Below are 19,945 nucleotides of genomic sequence, written 5' to 3'. Positions count from 1 at the left end.
CAGAGATTCTGGGTATTTGTAGAGACTGGAATGGATGTTGATGCTGATTGTTAATGGTTAACCCAGCAGAGGAAGTACAAGAACCATGTGGTCCTTCTGCTCTTCACATACATTTAGAAATGCATTGCTAGTGTTGATTTAGCTTTACAGAACAGCCAGGGATGCAAACATTACCTTACAGTGTATAAAGAAAGACTAACAGAAAAAGATAGGCTGGGGATTCATTTGGACCTGAGTTCAAAGTACAGCTCCTCTACTTGATGGCTGTCTAATCTTGGGGATGTTAACTGCCCTCTCTGAACGTTAGTTCTATCACTTGTAGAAGTGGGGTAATAATGCTTTGCAGGACTGTTGTACAGTGTGACTGAGATATTGTATTTCAAAGTACACAATGGAGGCCTTGCACACAGTACGTGCTCTATCAATGTTAGCTTCTCTTCTTTATTTACATCAACTTCATGGAGGCTGGGATAATTGGAAAAAAACTATTTTATGAAGCTTTTGAAACTATTAGAAGAGGCCTATTTCTATCTGTGTGTGATGAGCTTTTGAAATACTTTAACCCATAAGTTCAATATTTACTTATATAAGATTCTTTATTTCTTACCATTTCTATTTATTTATTTTACTACTCCTTACTGTCCTCCATCTAGTTATCCATTCAAACAAGTATTTTTTGATAATGTATTATATAGCTAGCCATGAAGTCACGGAGAAGAAGAGACACATAAGATGGCTGTTTGTCTTCATGATAATTGCACTGTACTGGGGAAGAATCGAATACATGAAAATAACTCAAGAACAAAGAACTAAAAATGGTAAGATTTATCATATTGCCAAAGAAGTTTCTAGTCAAGGATATAGTTAGGCTTGAAGGAAGGAAAGGATTTGGACAGGGAAGAGAAGGTAAAAGGCATTCGAGGGTGGTAGAAATACATTGATCAAAGGACTGGGGGTTAGGAATGAACACTGAATGTAGGGAAATAATGAAGAAATCTTCCCCTAGAGCTGAGGTCAGGGGTGGAGGGCAGTGGAGAGGTAATTTTAGGATGGACCTCAAGGAAGAATAAATTTAGTGTATGTAGATTCTCATGTTTATAGCTTCTGTTTTCTTTCTCTCTCTTAATTATGTAAAAGCTGAGACATCTGGTGGACTGACCTGAATCCAGACAAGCTTTGAGCAAATTACTTATTTTCTCTGTTCCTCTGTTTCCTCTAAAATTGATGTGATAATAATCATCAATTGTGTGTATGTGTGTGTGTGTTCGTCTGTGTATCTTTAAAGCAATTTTTTTTTTTTTTTTTTTTTTTGCCAAGAAGAAGTGTTGAAAGACCAGTGAGAGAAAGTGAAGCGTTATCCTGAATATTTTGTGTTGGGATCAAATACTCATGGGATTGTCAATTTTTGTGATATATCTACAACTTAGTTTCTGCAACTCGGAGGACATCCTGAAATAAAAAATAAAGTTTTATGTAGAAAGAATAACAGTCAAATTTAGGATATGAATTTGGATCTTTTGATTCTTGAGCAGTAAAAAACATAGTAATAGAAGATCTTGTCATTTAAAGAGTAAAACAACTCCCCCCACCCCAACTGAACCCACAGCCTTGTCTTTATAGAAACTGTGTTTCATTTTAGTGGGCTCCAGACATGTTTAATCCTATACTCTAATAAATAAAATTATTATTTATGACTAGATTACATAGACACACACTATATATAGTTAGATATATATACCAGTGTATCTAATTGGAACATCTGTGTAACTTCTGAGTGTGTTCCTTGCTTTACAGACCAAGTTTCTGCCTAATGGATCTGATTAGTCTAGATGAAACATGCCTATAGCTATTTTTTATTTTTGTCTTTCCTCCCTTCCCTTTAGAAACAATACGTTGCGGCCCATTGACAGATGTTCTATAGATAGTTAGATACAACATCATGAGCTATTCTCCAGGTGGTTGGATAAAATGATTCTTACTTCAGGAGGGAGGCCTGGGTTGGAGACTGATGGAGAATGGTGATGACTACTGTTTATCACCATAAGAATGATTTCTGCCCTCCCCGGAGGAAGGTGTATACAATGAGAATAGATCCTTCATAAACTCAACTTTTAAAGGTAGATAAAAAAGCAGAGGCCCACAAAGGAGCCTCAGAGGTAGAAGAAGGTGTATAAGAAAACTTGAGTGTGTGTCAAAGCCAAGAAAGTAGAGTTTTAAAAATGAGGGCACACACACACACACACACACACACACACAAAGTTTTAAATGCAAAAGTAGTTCAGTAAGATAAGAATGGAAAAGGATACTTTTGATTTGACATCTAGGAGATTACCTACTTTCTAAGTGGAGAAACAGTGTCAGTGAAGTGGTAACTGGAGAGTAAGTGGGAAAGCAGCAAACAGAGAGAGTAGTGTTTCACTAAATTTGCAAGAGATAAGGAATAAAATGGGATGAGAGAGGAAGACAGAGAGAGGGAATAAACCAATAAGATATTCTATATCTATCTCTATCTATCATCTATCTATCTATCTATCTATCTATCTATCTATCTATCTATCTATCCATCCATCTATCATCTCTCTATCTATCTATCATCATCTATCATCTCTCTATCTATCTATCATCATCTATCATCTATCTTCTATCTGTCTATTTTAAGAATGACTCCGTGTATTTACTGAATTGCTTGCTCTGTCTGGGTAGTCCCTCTCCTCCTGGTAAAATTTGGCAGGTTTCAGGCTGATGTCTTCTTCTTAGGAGGTATTAATAACAGCTTCAGCTGGATACCTACTGCTTTTTGTGAATACATACCCACAGAACTCTTATAGCACTTACCACGCTGGTAGTTATTTATGTGTCTGTCTCTCTGGATAGATTTCGAGCTATTTAAATTAAGACACCATGTCTTCATCTTCAAACTCCCAGTTCCTACCACAGTGCCCAGCATGTGTTAATTGCTCAGATTTGCTCCTGGAATGTGTGAACACACACAAAAGGCAAACAGACAAGCATGGAGTCCTGTGGGAAGGTTAGTCTGGCAGCAGCATTGAGGGTAGATGGGGGGTGGTCAGGGTAAGGCTGGAGGCAGCAAAGCCCACTTGGCGAGCTGTGAAGGTTCCCTAGTTAGATACCTAGCTTGGTGCCCTAACTCAGGGAATAAGGAAGAAGGAACTGTTTTAAGAAACACTTTAATAGGAGGCATGCCAAATTTAAATTAAAAAAAGAGAAAATAATGACGGATAATAACAGATGTCTAATCTTTAAAAAAGGAGAATAATGAGAAAAGTAAAATCGTGATCATGGTGATTGGGGAAAGAGAGGGCACAGCACTGGGAGGTGAGTCTGGTTTCTGTTCTGTTGGGTGGTCTCCTGAAAAGTCTTTCATTTTTGTCTCCATGTCCTGTTCTTGGATCTTCCCCAGAAGCACGCTGTCTTTGTTTTTGTACGTGTGTCAAGCAGCCATCTCTTCTTTCGTCATTTTCTTCTGAAAGAAAAAATGACTTCCACGAAGACTTTCAGCAATGATCCTCCGCTGACATCAAAAACATGTCAGAACAAAGCAAAACCTCAAGCTCCCAAGATTTAACAAGCACAGGCACAAGTCAGCTGAACCCGGAACATGTGCCTTAGGAATACTTAGTGTTTCCTAAGAACATTCCATTTGTTGGTCAGGAGTGATGAATTATGTGAACACTGAATTCATCTGCCTTGATTTATATATTTATTTAAAAAAAACCTTCCACATTGGGGTGTTTACCCAGTGGCAGTAGAAGAGAAACCCTTCTTTTCAGGTTAGATTAACCTCACTCTTTTTATGAGCTCTTACATTCATAGAAATCGTTTGATAAGAATTAGAAACTACTTTGAGGCCTCTGTCAATTTTCAGAATAAGAAGGATGAAAAGAAAGACATTATGAACGGGAGAGCAGCTGATTATTTGGAAGGAAGTGTTAGCTGTGGTTCAGCATTCATCACCATCCATTCCTTGAACTTATCCGTCAGAATCTTTTGATGGCCACCTTCACTTCTTTTTTCTTTTTCCTTGCCACACCAGTAAAATCAGTCGTCCCCTCAGCAATAAGCACGTAAAATGACTTCTTTTGTAGAACAAACTCTTTGCGTGTAAATAATTTGTTAGCCCCCTCCTCCCTTCAAGCATTGTGTTGGGAAAAAATATCCAACATAAATTGATTGCATGGATAGCCTGATTGTAAAGCAAGATTAATAGGAAGACACAAGGAGTCTGCAATAAAACCTACTAACTTAAATCATTCACATTTGTGTACAAGCGTTCATGTTAGCAACAGTCCCAAGACTGAGATTAAAGCTGTTCGGTAGGTTACTTCAAGGCCTTTTTATTGCTAAATCTTATTACGTCTCTAAAATGTAGAAATTAATCACCTGTCATCAAAGCTGCAGCGGATTATTGACTTCTAAATGTCTCTACAAATTGATTCATGACAGAATGAAACAGGAGACTGAACTAGCATTGAAATTCTTTTGCATGTGATAAAAAAGGTCTATTAAAAGCATTTCAACAAATGCTGCCTATTAGGTAATCATCACAAAGTACTTTCCTATCAAAATGAGGTGCTTCTGGAATAGTTTTGATGAGATACATTTTTTTTTCTGCACTAATATGGTAACATGAAATTATTCTGAAGCCCCGGGAAGCTGATTTGGAAATCCATTTAATTCTTATATTACAGAGTGCACAACTTATTTTTTAGCACTAACGCAATAAAAAGATGGGTAGGAAAAAATCCACGTATGTGTGTGTGCGCATGTATGTGTCAAACAGACTCTAGATTATTCATGTTAAAATTTTTAGAAAACATTTGTAATTTACCATAGTAGAATTACAATAATTTTTGCAATAAGGATCCTCTTCAGTAGCTCATTAAATTCTTTGACTGTGCTCTGGCTCCTTATCCCTGTTAGTTAAAATCACTGATTCTCAAAGTGGGTTAATTTTCTCCCCCTTGGGACATCCTGCTACGTTTGAAGCATTTTTGTTTGTTGAAACTGATGTATGCGTTTGAGTACTACTTGAATCTAGTGGCTAGAGGCCATGGATGTTACATATCCTATAATGCAGAGGACAGCTCCCTCTCCCACCCTGCAAAACAAAGAATTATCCAGCCCAAAATGTCAATAGTGCCAAGGTGAGAAACCTTGGTTTGAATTAAGAGGATCTCAGGAAAACATTCCTTGAATTGGAGCAGGCGGAAGTTTAAGTAGAATTCAGAATAATTTTCTTTAATCAAATTTACTTCCTTATTACTAGCCCTTCCTTCTTAGTAAACACTTAACTGCCAATGATGGCTTCCTTCCTTTTCAGAATTTTCTCACAGAGCTTCTTACAGCCTATTCCTTGCCATTTCTGCACTCTATGCACATCAGCCTCCCCCACAACCCAGTTCAACTCCTTATCTTTTTTAGCTCTGTAGAGACTGAAAGGCCAATATAAGAAATGGTCATTGAGCTAATCACTGATCAAAATGAATTTTGATTTTTAATTATCATTAAAGGATAGGAATTACTATTTTTGATTAAGAGGAGAGAAAACATAGCAGACCTCTATTGGAGACTTCTGTTTTGGGTTTCTGTCTCAGAAGACTATCTACTTGACCCAATTACTCAAAACCATTTAGAACTATCTCACAAACCTAGATAACCAGCTTCTGACAACATGCAAGTTTAAAAAAATTGTTTCCACTGGACTGTGAGTTTCACAGTCAAGAACACTTTATTCTTCTTTGTATCTTAGTGATCAGATCTCTGAATGAGTGAATTTTATTTTAGTCCTTAATATTCAAGTATAACTTAAACAGAGCACACAATTTAATACATAAAATCTTGTGGGTAGACTACAACACCACACACATGTCTTATAGGCAGAGATGTATTTGTATAATATTGGTAAACACTTGTTCCTACCCACCTTATTGTCTACACAGTATGTGTGATATATCACACTCTCTGCTGTCTCTGGCCTTTTATCAAAGCTTGGCTCTTTCCTTGGGAGGCATTCTACTACTGCTCCTTTTGCTTGCCTGCTGCTTAGTTCTCCTCTCAGACAACCGTTCTTCTAGGACTACTCATGACTGAACTGGAGCCTTATCCATGAGCTCTTATGGTCCTATGATGTACTAGACCTGCCTGTTAACTCATCTAGATTTTGCTCTAGACAGTCAGCTCCTTGAAGACAAGGGTTGTGTCTTAATCACCATAAACTTTCCTGAACTCAGCATATAACTGAACTGGCACATATTTGGCACCCTGCAAACATGGGGAGTGAATGGAGGGTAAGGGAACATATCATTTGGACTAAATTAAAAATCTCTTCTGTCAGTAGAGGTAGCACAATTGACATGTTAGAAACCTGCAAAGGGTTCTTCTCCATAAAGACCCATGGGGATTTGGTACTGCTGAGACATGACACAGAGTCCCCAAACCAAGGTGCCTAGGTAAAGGCAGCTACATGTATTTTGTCTCCTCTTTCTGTCCCCTACATGCATACTGTCCCCTCTTCTTTAATGCATACATGTCCCATAATGCCTACATGCCCCCTGCATGCATGTCCCCGACATGTCCCTTATGTGCATACATGCATACATGTCCCCCACATGCATACTGTCCCCTTCTGTCCCCTACATGCATACCGTTCCCTCTTCTCCTTCATGGAGAAGAATGACAAAGAAAAACCTACCAAAGTAATACATGACGGCTGGTTACAGAGCCCTGTCAGCTGCTTTACATTTTAGCAAGGAGAGGAATTGCATTTGTTCTTCAATTTCTTGAGGAAATAGAACGAAGTCCATTAAGTAGAAAATACAATGATTATTTCAGAAAAAAATAGATTTAGGAGAGTTCGAGCCATCCAAGACAAAAAGGACTGCTTTGGGCAAAGGGCGTTCCCCACCTCCACAATATGGGCTGAATGGGGCTTGAGTGAAGATGCTGGGAAGGGGATGTATGTATTCAATAGGATATTGAACTGCTTCCCCCATAAGGTCCCTCATCAGTGTAAGATTCTGTGGTGTTGAGACATGTTCCTGCAGTCCATAAATTGTAGGAGAACAGAGCCTCAGGTCTTATGAACCCTTAGTATCTCCTCCAGGATGTCTAAATGTACTGCCTAAGAACGTTTATAACCCTCACCCCAGTAAAGAGGGGATCGTCAGAAGCCCCGCCCAGGCTCCTGCCATCGGAAGATCTCACATTCCAGTCCACAAGAGCTTTCCACATATGAAGGGCTTTTGATCACCTGGAGACCTGGAGCTATTCCTCACCATTAGCTTTACTGTTATACATCAATATTAACAGAATTCCTTACCTAGCTATACACTGTAAAATGTATTTCCATTTTTCCTCCCTCTCCTTCCCCTACCACCTTTCCCCTGCTTTCCTCTTTGGGTCTCACTTCTCACTTCCAGTGAAATATTCAGTACATTGCGTAAAATTAGAGAGATGTAGGGAAACTAATATGTCGTCTCTGTGGAAGATTCAGATATAAGCAATTGTTAGGCCATGGAGGTAAAAGGTTTAAAATGGAATCTATAGAGATGATTATGATATGTAAAAAGGGCTTTTAAACTTTGGACCTGATTTCTCAAAGAGGCTGGAATAAACCTCAATTCAGACATAACAGCTTCAGGTGCAGATTTACCTGTGCTGTTACAAAGACTGAGCACTTGTAACTGCTTTCATGCATGATTATTCTATGACATTCCTCTTCAAGTCTTCTGAGAAATCTCTCTGGATATAATCTTGGGAAAGAGTTTCCAGTAATCATGAACTCTCAGGCCCCTATGGTCTGATTGCCACCAATGACTGCAGTGTGTATTTTATCTGTGTGTTTATGCCACGAAGTTTTCTCTAGTTCTACTTTTTTCTTCAAAAATGCCGAGGTTATTTCTGGCACTCACATAACATTTACAGGGAACTAGTTAAAATTTAACTGATATTTGGGGAAAACTTTTGTTAACAAAGACTGTTTATGCAAAACTACATCTCATAAAGAATCTCCAGTCTTTTTGAAGACAGAGAACTTAAAAGCCAGCTTTTGGGCTGAATTCATATGTCTTTGTCTCTCTTTCAGTTGATTTTGGCAACACCTCACATGTAACCCAAGACCAAAATAAAGTTACATTCGGAAGACAGTCACAATTCAGCGATCTTATCCTGCAGAACTCTTTCACTTGGCGTTTACATCATATAATTTGGTAAAGCGGTTTACACATTTACTCCTGTGATTTTCAAGGGGCTTTTATGATCTGCCAAGTGGACAAATGTCAACAAGCTTTAAGGATTGATTTACCAGGATTTCTGTCTCTTGTGAACAGATTACTGTAGCTCTGAATAAAACGCATGTAAACAAGCCCAGAAATCTTAGTGGAAAAAGCAGTTCCCACCAGACCTGGTGGCTTGATCAGGAATCCTAGTGGAGTTGCCTCCTGTCACTATGAAATCTTGGAGGGGTAACAGCTTTCCCTCTCATACGGCTGCCCTGGAAAGATTCCCTGAGTCTGCACAGCCTGTGTGCAGCCAGAGAATGAAAGTGGCGAAGTGTTAGCGCCCAGGAGCCTCCCCGCTCACAAGCTGCAGGTCTTGTTAAAAACTCCTGTTCTGTTTGTTCCTGGAACTTGCCAATGGCTCTGACCCTCAAGACCTTTTACCTGTCAGTCTAACCAGAGGCGATGCCCTCCTGTGGGCGAGAAGACTCAGTACCAGGCAGCTGACATGAAGTTTCAACTAGGAGTGGGCACTGAGTTGAACACTTTGGCATTTCCAATGTTTGGAAATGCCAAAGTTTTCTTTGTGAAATAAAAATAATGTCAAACCGCATCATTTGTGTCTTTTAATGTTATAGCAATTTTTGAGCTTTGATTCTGGTTCTTCTTCAGCTTTATTCATGAGAAAGAAAATGAAGGATACGGGCTGTTGCTCTTCTGGGCTTATCATGCTCCCTGTCACTCGGTTGCTAGAGTGGGGACCATGCACTCCATGGTACGTGGGCCTTTCTGAGGACTGGAGTGGGGAACTGGAGAGGGAACTCAGGCCCACATTACCCCTACAAGGGCATTCCCTTAGAACTAGAACTGGGGTTGCTGTTAGCATCTTCCTAGCTGCCCCAGGAATACGGGAAGAACTAGACAGTCTCATTAGCTTATTCTTCTTCGCAGCTCTGTGTCCAGATTAAGGGAGGCCTAGAAAATCACCATGCTCAAAAATGAGTTAAAGATAGATTCAGGCCGGGCGCGGTGGCTCACACCTGTAATTCCAGCACTTTGGGGGGCTGAGGCGGGCAGATCACCTGAGGTCAGGAGTTTGAGACCAGCCTGGCCAACATGGGGAAACCCCATCTCTACTAAAAATACAAAAATAAGCAGGGAGTGGTGATGCATGCCTGTAATCCCAGCTACTCAGGAGGCTGAGGCAGGAGAATCACTTGAACCTGGGAAGTGGAGGTTGCTGTGAGTCGATATTATGCCACTGCACTCCAGCCTGGGTGACAGAGCAAGGCTCCATCTCAAAAAAAAAAAAAAAGGCAGATTCACCCTAAAATTTATGTTTGCTGTAGATTCGCACAAAGTATTTATATTTTCCACTTACTGTTTTTTTCATCTTAAAGAAACGAGTGAATGTCTGTTTAAAAGGGAATACTACTACCAAAGTCTATCTCATAAGTTTGTTGCAAAGTGAATTTAGAAACATATATGCCTGGCACACAGGAGGCTGACACAAAAACCTTCATACTCACTCTCCATCCAGGTAAACCTGAGGCATAAATTCCTGCTTGTGTGGGCCACTGACAACTCACACTGGCTCTTTCAAATCACATTCTAAGCCCTGTTGGACTGGCCCCAGACATATGACATGGGCTGATTGGATTGAATTGGAACTTTCAGTTCTGCCTTGAATTGGTTCCCCTGTGTAGACAGTCTGTGTGATATCAACCCTCTACTTCAGGGAGAAAGAGGCTGTTTGGGCATGGGTATTATTTTCTTAAATGCAGAATAAAGCGGGACCAGCAGGGTATTTCAGTGAAATATTTCCTTTGAATTTTCCTATTCATTTGCTCTTTTATGCATTCACAGCTAGGGGTTTCCAGCTGATCCATTTGATTGCTCTCATGTACAGATTGTAAAGACAGCAAAGAGGGGATTCCTGTAGATTCTTAACTTGTTAACAAAGGCTGCTATGACTGTGGCAAGCCCCAGAGCTGACAGCCAGTTTCAGTCCTTTGTAGGGGTTAAGAGAGGGAGACAAGGCCAGGAAAGAGGAGTAGGAAGTTTTAATAGAGATACTGAATCTGAAAAACACCAGGGCATAAAGAAGGGCCAGAGGGAAGGGAAGCTGTGAGTCCTGGAAGCACCATCCGTCCACAGGCTTACTCTGGACTTGGAGTCCCTTAGCTCATTCCTTCTTCAGTCTCCTGTCAGAGCAGATGTTCTGTGAATTGACTGCCTCCCTTGTGGCCAAAGCATTGGTCCAAGTCTCAGGAGACCTCAGGGCCAGGCTCAGTATTGTCAGCTGTGTGGTCATGGGCATACTTTGTCACTTTTCTGTGATTACTTTTTTAATCTGCAAAAGTCACACACATGGATATAAAAGGGGTTGCTTTGAGGTTCAATTGCAAAAAGATATATAAATAAAGTACTATAAAATAAATAGTATCATCATCTATTATTTTTCTCATGCAGAATCTACAAATGTGAATGTTGTTATCCTTAGTTTCTCACTGGGGAGCACCCTGGGGTTGGGAGTAGGGTAGAGAGCATGGTGCAGGTATAAACGGAGAAATTTGAGGCTAATTGGATAGTACTCTTAACTTTGAAATAGACACTGAAGTTGGCTTGGTTATCACTGTCCCGGGTTAAATATCAAGGCACCTATCTGTATGATGGACACAGCCTGATATATTCCAGCCTGTATTCCTTTCTAAGGACAAGTCTCAGAGGTGTCCCCCGGCCACAGAGCTAACACGGTAGAAGCCTGGCTCCTCTCTGCTCCCTTGGTCTCTCGAGATACCTTCTGCAGTAGCACAGAGCTGTTTACCAGGCCTCTGTTTTTGAGCTTGAAAGGTTTTCACTCAGGCTGGCATACACGTTTTTGACAGATTGAATTGACACATGCAGAAATCACCAGTGGCCTTTGGGTCTCACTGTGGCCGTCGTGAACCTGCTTAAAGTGCCTGATGCCTGCATTTCTCTTTACTTATCCGGAAGCCATTTCCTACCAGCAGCTCCTCCCTCCGCTTCCCCAAACCAAAGAGTCAAGTCTTGGGCATGGGTGGATAACTGGGAAAGGTGAAAAGCAAACCATTAGTAAAACGAGTTAGTTCTTAAAATGCATCATTTTTGGTATACCCACAGGACTTCCAGTTGGCAGTTTCCATGCTGCTTTATAGCTTGCTTTAATTTATCTAACTAATGACATGAAGGATATAAAATGGGTAAAACTATAATGTTTGGCTTGCTTAAATTAAGTTTATGAGTTTTGCTTAAGCCTGCCAAACAAGTTAAATATTTCATGGCTTTCACAGGCTATAGTTCTAATATTTATAACTCTTGTGTACAGATTTCAAAAAATTATAATTACAACTCCCAGGATCCCAGACACAGCAGATGTTCAATATTTTCTACAATGTTGGCAGAAAATGCTTCTCATGCTCTTTTTGATCCCCTACCCATGTATTGTATCTGTTGGAACAAGCTGTTGATAAGAAAGTCTACTGTCATTCTTTCATTTTAACGACCTTGGAAAAAACTCTAACATGAAATAGGAATAGAGATGGAAAAGGTGATTTCTACCCTTCTATAAAGATATTACTGCATGGAAATAATGTTTTACCTAATGGAGACTAACATAAAAGTGCATTTTGCCATGAGAGGCATTTTATTTACTTTATGACCACAATGATTTTCTGTATAATTTCCATTTTTTCCCTAATTAAACATGCAAAATTTCTTTCTTGTCTGGGTGACTGACTTTCCTTGGCCCCTTTAACGAAAGATGTACCTCATTTGCCCTTCAGAAAATCTTGAAAACCCTCTATCAGTCACTTACTTGGGTTAAGACTTTGTAAGTTTCTGTTTAAAGGAGTTGTGCTATCAGCTCTGGTCACTTTAAGCTCTCATATACAAATTATTAATCCAATTTTTTGCTGTTATAGAGAGACTCAGAGAGATTGGGCACTGCAGAAATTAAATTTAGGTTCGGAAGTTTCTGGTTCATGAGTTCTAGAATGCCTTGTGGCGGGATGCAGATTTGGAGAGCTCTGAAGTATTCAACTTCCTCTACTTCCCAATTTGCCCAAGGCCAGTCTTGGATGGAAGGAAGACACGGTAATTAAAAAATGAGATAGAACTGATTCTATTTCTCACTCAATTCATGCACACAATAGCAAAAAGAGATGTGAACATTGACATAGATTTTAGTTAATTTTCTTAGAGTTTAAGTATGTGAAAGACTTTGAAACTCACACTCTTGTAGAATACTATCTGTACATATAATGTACAAAATATATCTAAAAATAAAAAATTCCTGAAAAATTGATAAACCTCAAATTCACAGATTCATGCATTTTTCTTCCCACAGCGCCTTCTCTGTCTTCATTGTTAGAATCAAACTTTAAAACTACTCTGTGGTGGCCAGGCGCGGTGGCTCACGCCTGTAATCCCAGCACTTTGGGAGGCCGAGGCAGGCGGATCACGAGGTCAGGAGATTGAGACCATCCTGGCTAACACGGTGAAACCCCGTCTCTACTAAAAATACAAAAAATTAGCCAGGCGTGGTGGCGGGCGCCTGTAGTCCCAGCTACTCGGGAGGCTGAGGCAGGAGAATGGCGTGAACCCGGGAGGCGGAGCTTGCAGGGAGCCGAGATCGCACCACTGCACTCCAGCCTGGGCGACAGAGCGAGACTCGGTCTCAAAAAAAAAAAAAAAAAAACAAACAAACAAACAAAAAAAACCCCACAAAACTACTCTGTGATGAAATGAAATGTGACTTTCCAAAATAACTCCTAGCCCAAGGAGATGCCAGAGGAGCTTGCCTGAGAGAGGCATCACCACTGGAAATGGACGTAGGTGTTCTTTGAAGAACCCAGGAATTGTAAAATGCGCTCACAGGAGTGACTGCACTGCTAAGGAGAATGAGCTGGTTCTCAGAAGGCAGCATGGTGGAGAGACCCCAGGTAAAGCAGACGTGTCTTCTGGATGGTATGACATAATGCTGCCTTGCCGCTCACCTCGTGAAGGGGCAGTAGCCTGCTTGCTGTGTAGACATGGCCAGGTAATGCAGGCACACAGTGGCTCCTTATTACCGGTTTCTTGAGTGTACTGAGAACATTTCAGGTGAGACATCAAAACCCAGCTTTAAGAGTGCAGGCTTGGAGGGCTTCATCAGCCTTTTCCACCTCTTCCCACTCTTCCAACGGTGCGTTCTCTGGGGTTCTTAATTCATTCCTCCCTGGTAATACTTCAGGGACAATATGAACGAGAATCTGTCGTCAATTCTGTCTCGATGTCACTGTTGGGAATGGGGAAACTGACAGAAGCTCTTTCTGGATGCTGTGAATTTTCCTCAGGACTGCCCTGAGAAATAACTTTTTAAAAATTTTCCATAGGTTTTTGAGGGAACAGGTGGTATTTGGTTACATGAGTAAGTTCTTTAGTGGTGATTTGTGAGATTTTGGTGCACCCATCACCTGAGTAGTATACACTGAACCCGATTGGTAGCCTTTTATCCCTCACCCCCCATTTTCATTTCCCCCCGAGTCCACAGACACCATTTTATCATTCTTATGCCTTTGCATCCTTATAGTTTAGCTCCCACTTATGAGTGAGAACATACGATGTTTGGTTTTCCATTTCTGAGTTACTTCACTTGGAATAATAGTCTCTAGTCCCATCCAGGTTGCTGTGAATGCCATTTAATTCATTCCTTTTTATGTCTGAGTAGTATTCTATCATACGTATATGTATATATAGCAGTTTCTTTACTTTAATCCAAGCTGAGGACTTGTGTGAAGGCTCGGCTGCTCTGTAGGTATGGAAATGTAGGAAAAGGGCATGAACTGCAAACCCAGAAATGGGTGTGCTCTGCACTCCAGGGAGGTTACCTAAGCAGGATTATAGAGATTTCATTTTTGAAACAGAGAAAACAACAGTTCTACAGAGTTGTAGGATTCCAAAGTGTATTAAAAGTGCCAGGCAACTAGCAAACACTTCCCGCCTACTTCCCAGAATTCCCTCCTCTTCGTGGTTTGTGGGTCTTGAGCGACATTTTGCACGAGATTTAGAAGACACAAGTGAAATTGCAGCCATCTTTTTGGGGCTGGCGTTGCAGCTCACACACACATTGTCACCTACCTTTTGGCATCCTGGTTGCCATGGGCATATTTGGGTCCTCTGGATCTCCTTCTTTGGCTTCGTTTTCCTCCAGGCAGGCATGTGTTTATTTACCGGATAAGGATAAGCTTCACCCGCAGAACACCCTCATCATTAAAGGTGGAGTCTTGGAGGTCGTGAGACACTGATACGGTTTCTGGTCCACCTTCGCAGACTCCACTCATCTTTATGGGTTCCATTTTGTCCCGGTTTCCCTCTTTGCAGCTGTCTTTTCTTCCTGTCTACCCGTCCTGCTGACTTCAGGCTTCAGCACCAAACACAGAAGCAACAGCCTCTGCATTCTGTTTAACATCCTCCCACAGTGAAGCAGAGCCAAAGCCCCGTATAAATCCCTTAGTATGTATGTGTTTCCTAGGGGTTCTGCTTCTCTGTTTGAACTCTGACTCATATATCTATCAAAATACCCAACATAGTTCTCTGCTCATAGCAGACATCTCACTCATTTCACTTCATTCACAGTCATTTGGGGGGAGGGTTAACTCTGCTGGACGCTGGGGTTGCGAAGACCAACAAAGTAGGATCTGATTTGCACACAATCTAGTGGAAGCAAGTAAACCTTCCATATTAATATGATTCTGGCAGCTCTGCCCCATTGGCCTTCTTAGCCATGAAGTTGGATTATCTGTTTCCCCTGGGACAGTAGAGCTTGCCCATCCAGACTCTGGCCATGTGGTGATTTTGACATAGAGGAAATCCTAAATGGTGATGATGATTTCCCAGATATTAGTACTGCTAACATTTTACATGTCTAAAGCACTCACACTCCAAAATCTCTTTTCAGTGCATGATTACATTGGCCCTTACAAGGACATCGTGAAGTGGTCAGGGTGAGTATTATCGTACCTATTTTATAGATAAAGAAGCTGTGGCCCTGCAGCTGGATTTGCATTCAAAATTTCTGACTCTCAGGATAGAGCTCTTTCCACTGTGGTGCAGATTTTCTCCTTGACAATCCCAAAGGAGGACCTTGTTTAGTAAAATGAAAAGCCCAGAGGCTTTAAAGACTTGTAGATTGTCCTGTATAAAATGCGTGATTATTTGAAGGCTCACACATATACCATGTTGTCTCTTGTTTTCCAACTTGAGTAATGCCTCAAGCAAAGTCCAGGCCCTAGAGAAATCAGTGTTTAAATCCTTACATGCATTTCTTTTGGATACCACCTAGTATTCATAAATAATAGCCCGTTTCTTAAAACCCAGCACCCTACATATTCTCATTAGGCATGCCTTATGTGTGCTTTCCTAACAAAATTCACTTAATAGCCCACAGAGGTTTGTTGCATTGGATTTATCTTGCTGCCAGCTTCCAGAAATGTGTAAATGCTACTATCTCCCTTTTTCCTTTCTGGATTTAATCTGATTTGCTTTCTCAAAGTTGAAATAATTTATAAAACATTTTAAAGCTAGAGAACCTGAAGCAAAGACCATTGCTGTCTGAAAGAAGAAAAAGAGAGAGATATCCCAGGGGGAATGTTAAGGGCTCTGTCTTACATTCTAATATACAGTATGCATTATCACGTATTTTGGAAAAATCTGCATTAGGCATGTGCATGCAAGTTTTAGTAGGTGATTGTTCATATTATGTAGCACTTTACACCAACTGCTCAGAGAACAAAACAGCACCCTGAATTGAGGAATTGATTTGCAAGCTCATAATGTCTGAGATGATCTACTTGTAGTATTCTCTTATTTAATTTAGCATGAAGTGTTACCTGAGAAATCGCAGGTCCTCAAATACATCCAAAGACAATTTAATGCTCATCTAATTCCTAAAACATAGTCATCTCTGGTTGAGGCCAGTGCGACAGGGTAGTGTGGAACAAGCAGGCATGGTATGAAATGTTTCATAAATCTTCATATAGGATGCATTTGTCATTGTCTCCAAAATATTTTAATGTTAACTTCTTCCTTTTCTGTTTCTGTTTCCCTTCTTAAAAATCATCTTAAAGGTTGCTGAACGTATAAGGAACACTATAGAATTTTACTAAAGTCACTAAAACTCAATGTAAAATCACTAATGGTGTTAGTAAAGCTACTGTTTTCCCATAGGGCCAAAAAGCATTATTTTTGTGTGTATGTCTGTGTTTATTTAGCAGACAAGAACATACATTTTCTTCTGTGCTTTAGTAAAATTTTCTCCTATATATAGGTGAAAAGTTCAAGTAATCTAATAAAACAAAGCAAAACAAACAAACAGAAAACAGGAGCAGCCGATTTGAAGGATCAGGAAATGCTGTCAATATAAATGTCTGTTGTTGATCTTAATCCTCAATCTTTATTCTTAGTCTGAGTTGTTTATCTCTACCTACTAGAATAGAAAAATGCAGCAAACCACTCACAATTTTTTTAAACCACTGCTTAAGAAAAGGTCCTTAAACCACTGCTTAAGAGAGGTCCTTGATATCTGAATGCTTTCTCTGAGAAATAACCTTGGAAACATGGAAAACTTCCAATGCAAATTTATATCACGGCTAATTGGTATATGATTGTTAGAGGTAACAGCTAGCCGCAATGATACTGATAGCAGTGTGATTCTTGTGGATCTTAGAGGAGAAATCACAGTAGGCTCATTTGGTCTCAGGTGGATGGCTTTTAGACTTGCTATTGCCTGTCTTATTGTTTGCAGATTTCTGTTTGCATAATGAATTTTATTTGTCTTACAAGAGAAATTATTTTACAGATCTAAATAGACTAAGAAAAAGTTGAGGATAAAAGTGCTGAAAGAAAAAGGGTTAGTTTTCCATGCTGCTTAAAACAACAACAGTAACAACAACAACGACAAAACACACTTTCTTTAGAAAACGGTGTTTCCAGGTTTTTTCTCTTAGCATGAGTTCTGGATACCTGGGATTGAGAGTACTGGAGACTTCCTCTTCACTATTGATACGGTTTGGCTGAGTCCTCACCTAAAATCTCATCTTGAATTATAATCCCTATGATCCCCACGTGTTAAGGGAGAGACCGGGTGGAGGTAATTGAATCATGGGGGCAGTTCCCCCATGCTGCTCTTGTGTTAGTGAGTGAGTTCTCACGAGATCTGATGGTTTTATAAATGCGTGGTAGTTTCCACTGCATTCATTCGCCTTTCTGCAGCCTTGTGAAGAAGGATGTGTTTGCTTTCCCCTGTGTCTTCTGCCATAATCGTAAGTTTCCTGAGGCCTTCCCAACCATGCTGAACTGAGTCAATTAAACCACTTTCCTTTATAAATTACCCCGTCTTTGGGTAGTATTTTTATAGCAGTGTGAGAATGGACTAATACAACTATATTCCCATTTATACATTTTGAATTTTGTATCATGTGCATGTATTACCTGATTAAAAAATAATGTGTAATTTGAAAGCAGTTTTTAAAACAGGTTGGAGCAATGCATTAATACATTTATTTTTGTTGACACTAAATGGCTTTTACTGAGTCAGCTCAATTCAATTTAACAAACAACTGCTATGTGCCAAGCTCTGGACTAGGCTCAGGGGGCTGTTTACAAAGGAACCTGCTTTCAAAAGGAGCTTAACATCCTAGTATGGGTTAACAGAGGCTATTCCGTAACTCAAAGCCTCTTTTTGTTTGGACAAGTGTCTCAGCCAGTGTTCATTGTTCAACACAGCAGAAAGCAGCCTCTCTCTTTGTATATCAAATTGGTTACCTCTGGGGAAGTTCTTTTATACATCCACTCAACAAGCAGAGTGTCCGCTACATGCAGGGCCCTTTGCAGGTGACTGATGGCAAGCAAGTCTAGTTCCTGCCCTCAAGGGGTTAACATCTAGGTGAGATGTAGTTTCAGTTCTGTATTTCCAGTGTCTCCTGATGTCTGAGAATAGGTATTCGAGATCTATCCTGTATTTTAAACAAATTGTGACTTAGGAGATTTTGTTAGATCAACACTTATTCAACAATGGGTAATACTCCTAAAGGCTTAGTGTAATGCATAAATGGAATATTTCAAATGTATGTGGTATCTCTAAATAAATCATTCCTTGATGCAGGGATGGGTCATTTATGGGATAAATATATTGAACCCAAATAGGATAAGTGAGCTGCTTTAAGTTCTACACTTAGCTCAATTAGAGCCATCAGACTTCTTTCCACAGTAGTTGAATTATGCAATGTGATTTGTTGTTAAAGCCCATTGCCTGAAAATAGATAACAGGAAGATTTTTCTTTTTTTTTATTATTATACTTTAAGTTCTAGGGTACATGTGCACAACGTGCAGGTTTGTTACATATGTGTACATGTGCCCTGTTGGTGTGCTGCACCCATTAACTCGTCATTTACATTAGGTATATCTCCTAATGCTATCCCTCTCCCCTCCCCCCAACCCACGACAGGACCTGTTGTGTGATGTTCCCCACCCTGTGTCCAAGTGTTCTCATTGTTCAGTTCCCACCTGTGAGTGAGAACATGCGGTGTTTGGTTTTCTGTCCTTGCGATAGTTTGCTGAGAATGATGGTTTCCAGCTTCATCCATGTCCCTGCAAAGGACATGAACTCATCCTTTTTTATGGCTGCATAGTATTCCATGGTGTATATGTGCCACATTTTCTTAATCCAGTCTATCATTGATGGACATTTGGGTTGGTTCCAAGTCTTTGCTCTTGTGAATAGTGCCGCAATAAACATACGTGTGCATGTGTGTTTGTAGCAGCATGATTTATAATCCTTTGGGTATATACCCAGTAATGGGATGGCTGGGTCAAATGGTATTTCTAGTTCTAGATCCTTGAGGAATCACCACACTGTCTTCCACAATGGTTGAACTAGTTTACAGTCCCACCAACAGTGTAAAAGTGTTCCTATTTCTCCACATCCTCTCCAGCACCTGTTTCTTCCTGACTTTTTAATGATCACCATTCTAACTGGTGTGAGATGGTATCTCATTGTGGTTTTGATTTGCATTTCGCTGATGGCCAGTGATGATGAGCATTTTTTCATGTGGCTGTTGGCTGCATAAATGTCTTTTGAGAAGTGTTGATAACAGGAAGATTTCTAACACTTGCAATGAAAAACATGAATTCTTTAATTTCCATAAAGTTGGGAGGAATCTTATTTATAGCGGCAAACTAGCATCAAGAAAAAGGAAAGACCTAGAGAGAAATATTTGATTAGAAAGGCAGGGATTTTGGAAGCAGAAGCCATGTCTCCTGTGAGGGAGATAGTGCTTAGAGTTCTGATTTATTTGTTTGAGAAAGATAATGTCTTTTTTTTTTTTTTTTTGATGGTAAGAAGATTGTTAGGCTGAAAAAATAATTTAGTCCTAAGACATTTTTTAGGTTCTAATAGTTTACTTAATATTTTTAGCCATTCCTTTAAAAAAATCACAGATATGAAAATAAAAAGGGAACATTCATATGTTTACATTGTTAATGTGATATAGACATTATTGGCATGATAGCTACCTTAGTAATATCACTTTTGGGGGATAGTTCTGAAAATCAGAATATTTTCTAATTGATTCTACTGTAAAACATCATTGAAGTGGTATCTGCTGTCTGGCTTAGTTGTGGACTAAAATAAAGCCATAATTCTGAG

General features: G+C 39.9%; 1 long non-coding RNA gene across 1 annotated transcript, besides 1 other annotated feature; it reads left to right on the top strand.

Moving 5' to 3' along the window:
* Nucleotides 1-700: 700 nt before the first annotated feature.
* On the top strand, nucleotides 701-4,275 carry LOC124903181 (uncharacterized). The gene is made up of 2 exons (XR_007063820.1): nucleotides 701-818; nucleotides 3,422-4,275. It is a non-coding gene; the product is annotated as an uncharacterized LOC124903181 (long non-coding RNA).
* Nucleotides 17,694-18,408: an enhancer, noted in NCBI's record as "OCT4-NANOG hESC enhancer chr13:73101179-73101893 (GRCh37/hg19 assembly coordinates)". NCBI's record gives its function as "activates a minimal SCP1, AML or CMV promoter by ChIP-STARR-seq in naive H9 embryonic stem cells {active_cell/tissue: H9 hESC(naive)}" and the evidence as "EXISTENCE:reporter gene assay evidence [ECO:0000049][PMID:30033119]".

The sequence above is a fragment of the Homo sapiens genome, chromosome 13 (genome assembly GCF_000001405.40).
Source record: "Homo sapiens chromosome 13, GRCh38.p14 Primary Assembly".
NCBI lineage: Eukaryota > Metazoa > Chordata > Mammalia > Primates > Hominidae > Homo > Homo sapiens.
Note: the sequence above shows the minus strand (reverse complement) of the source record. Positions and strands in the feature narration are given on the sequence as shown.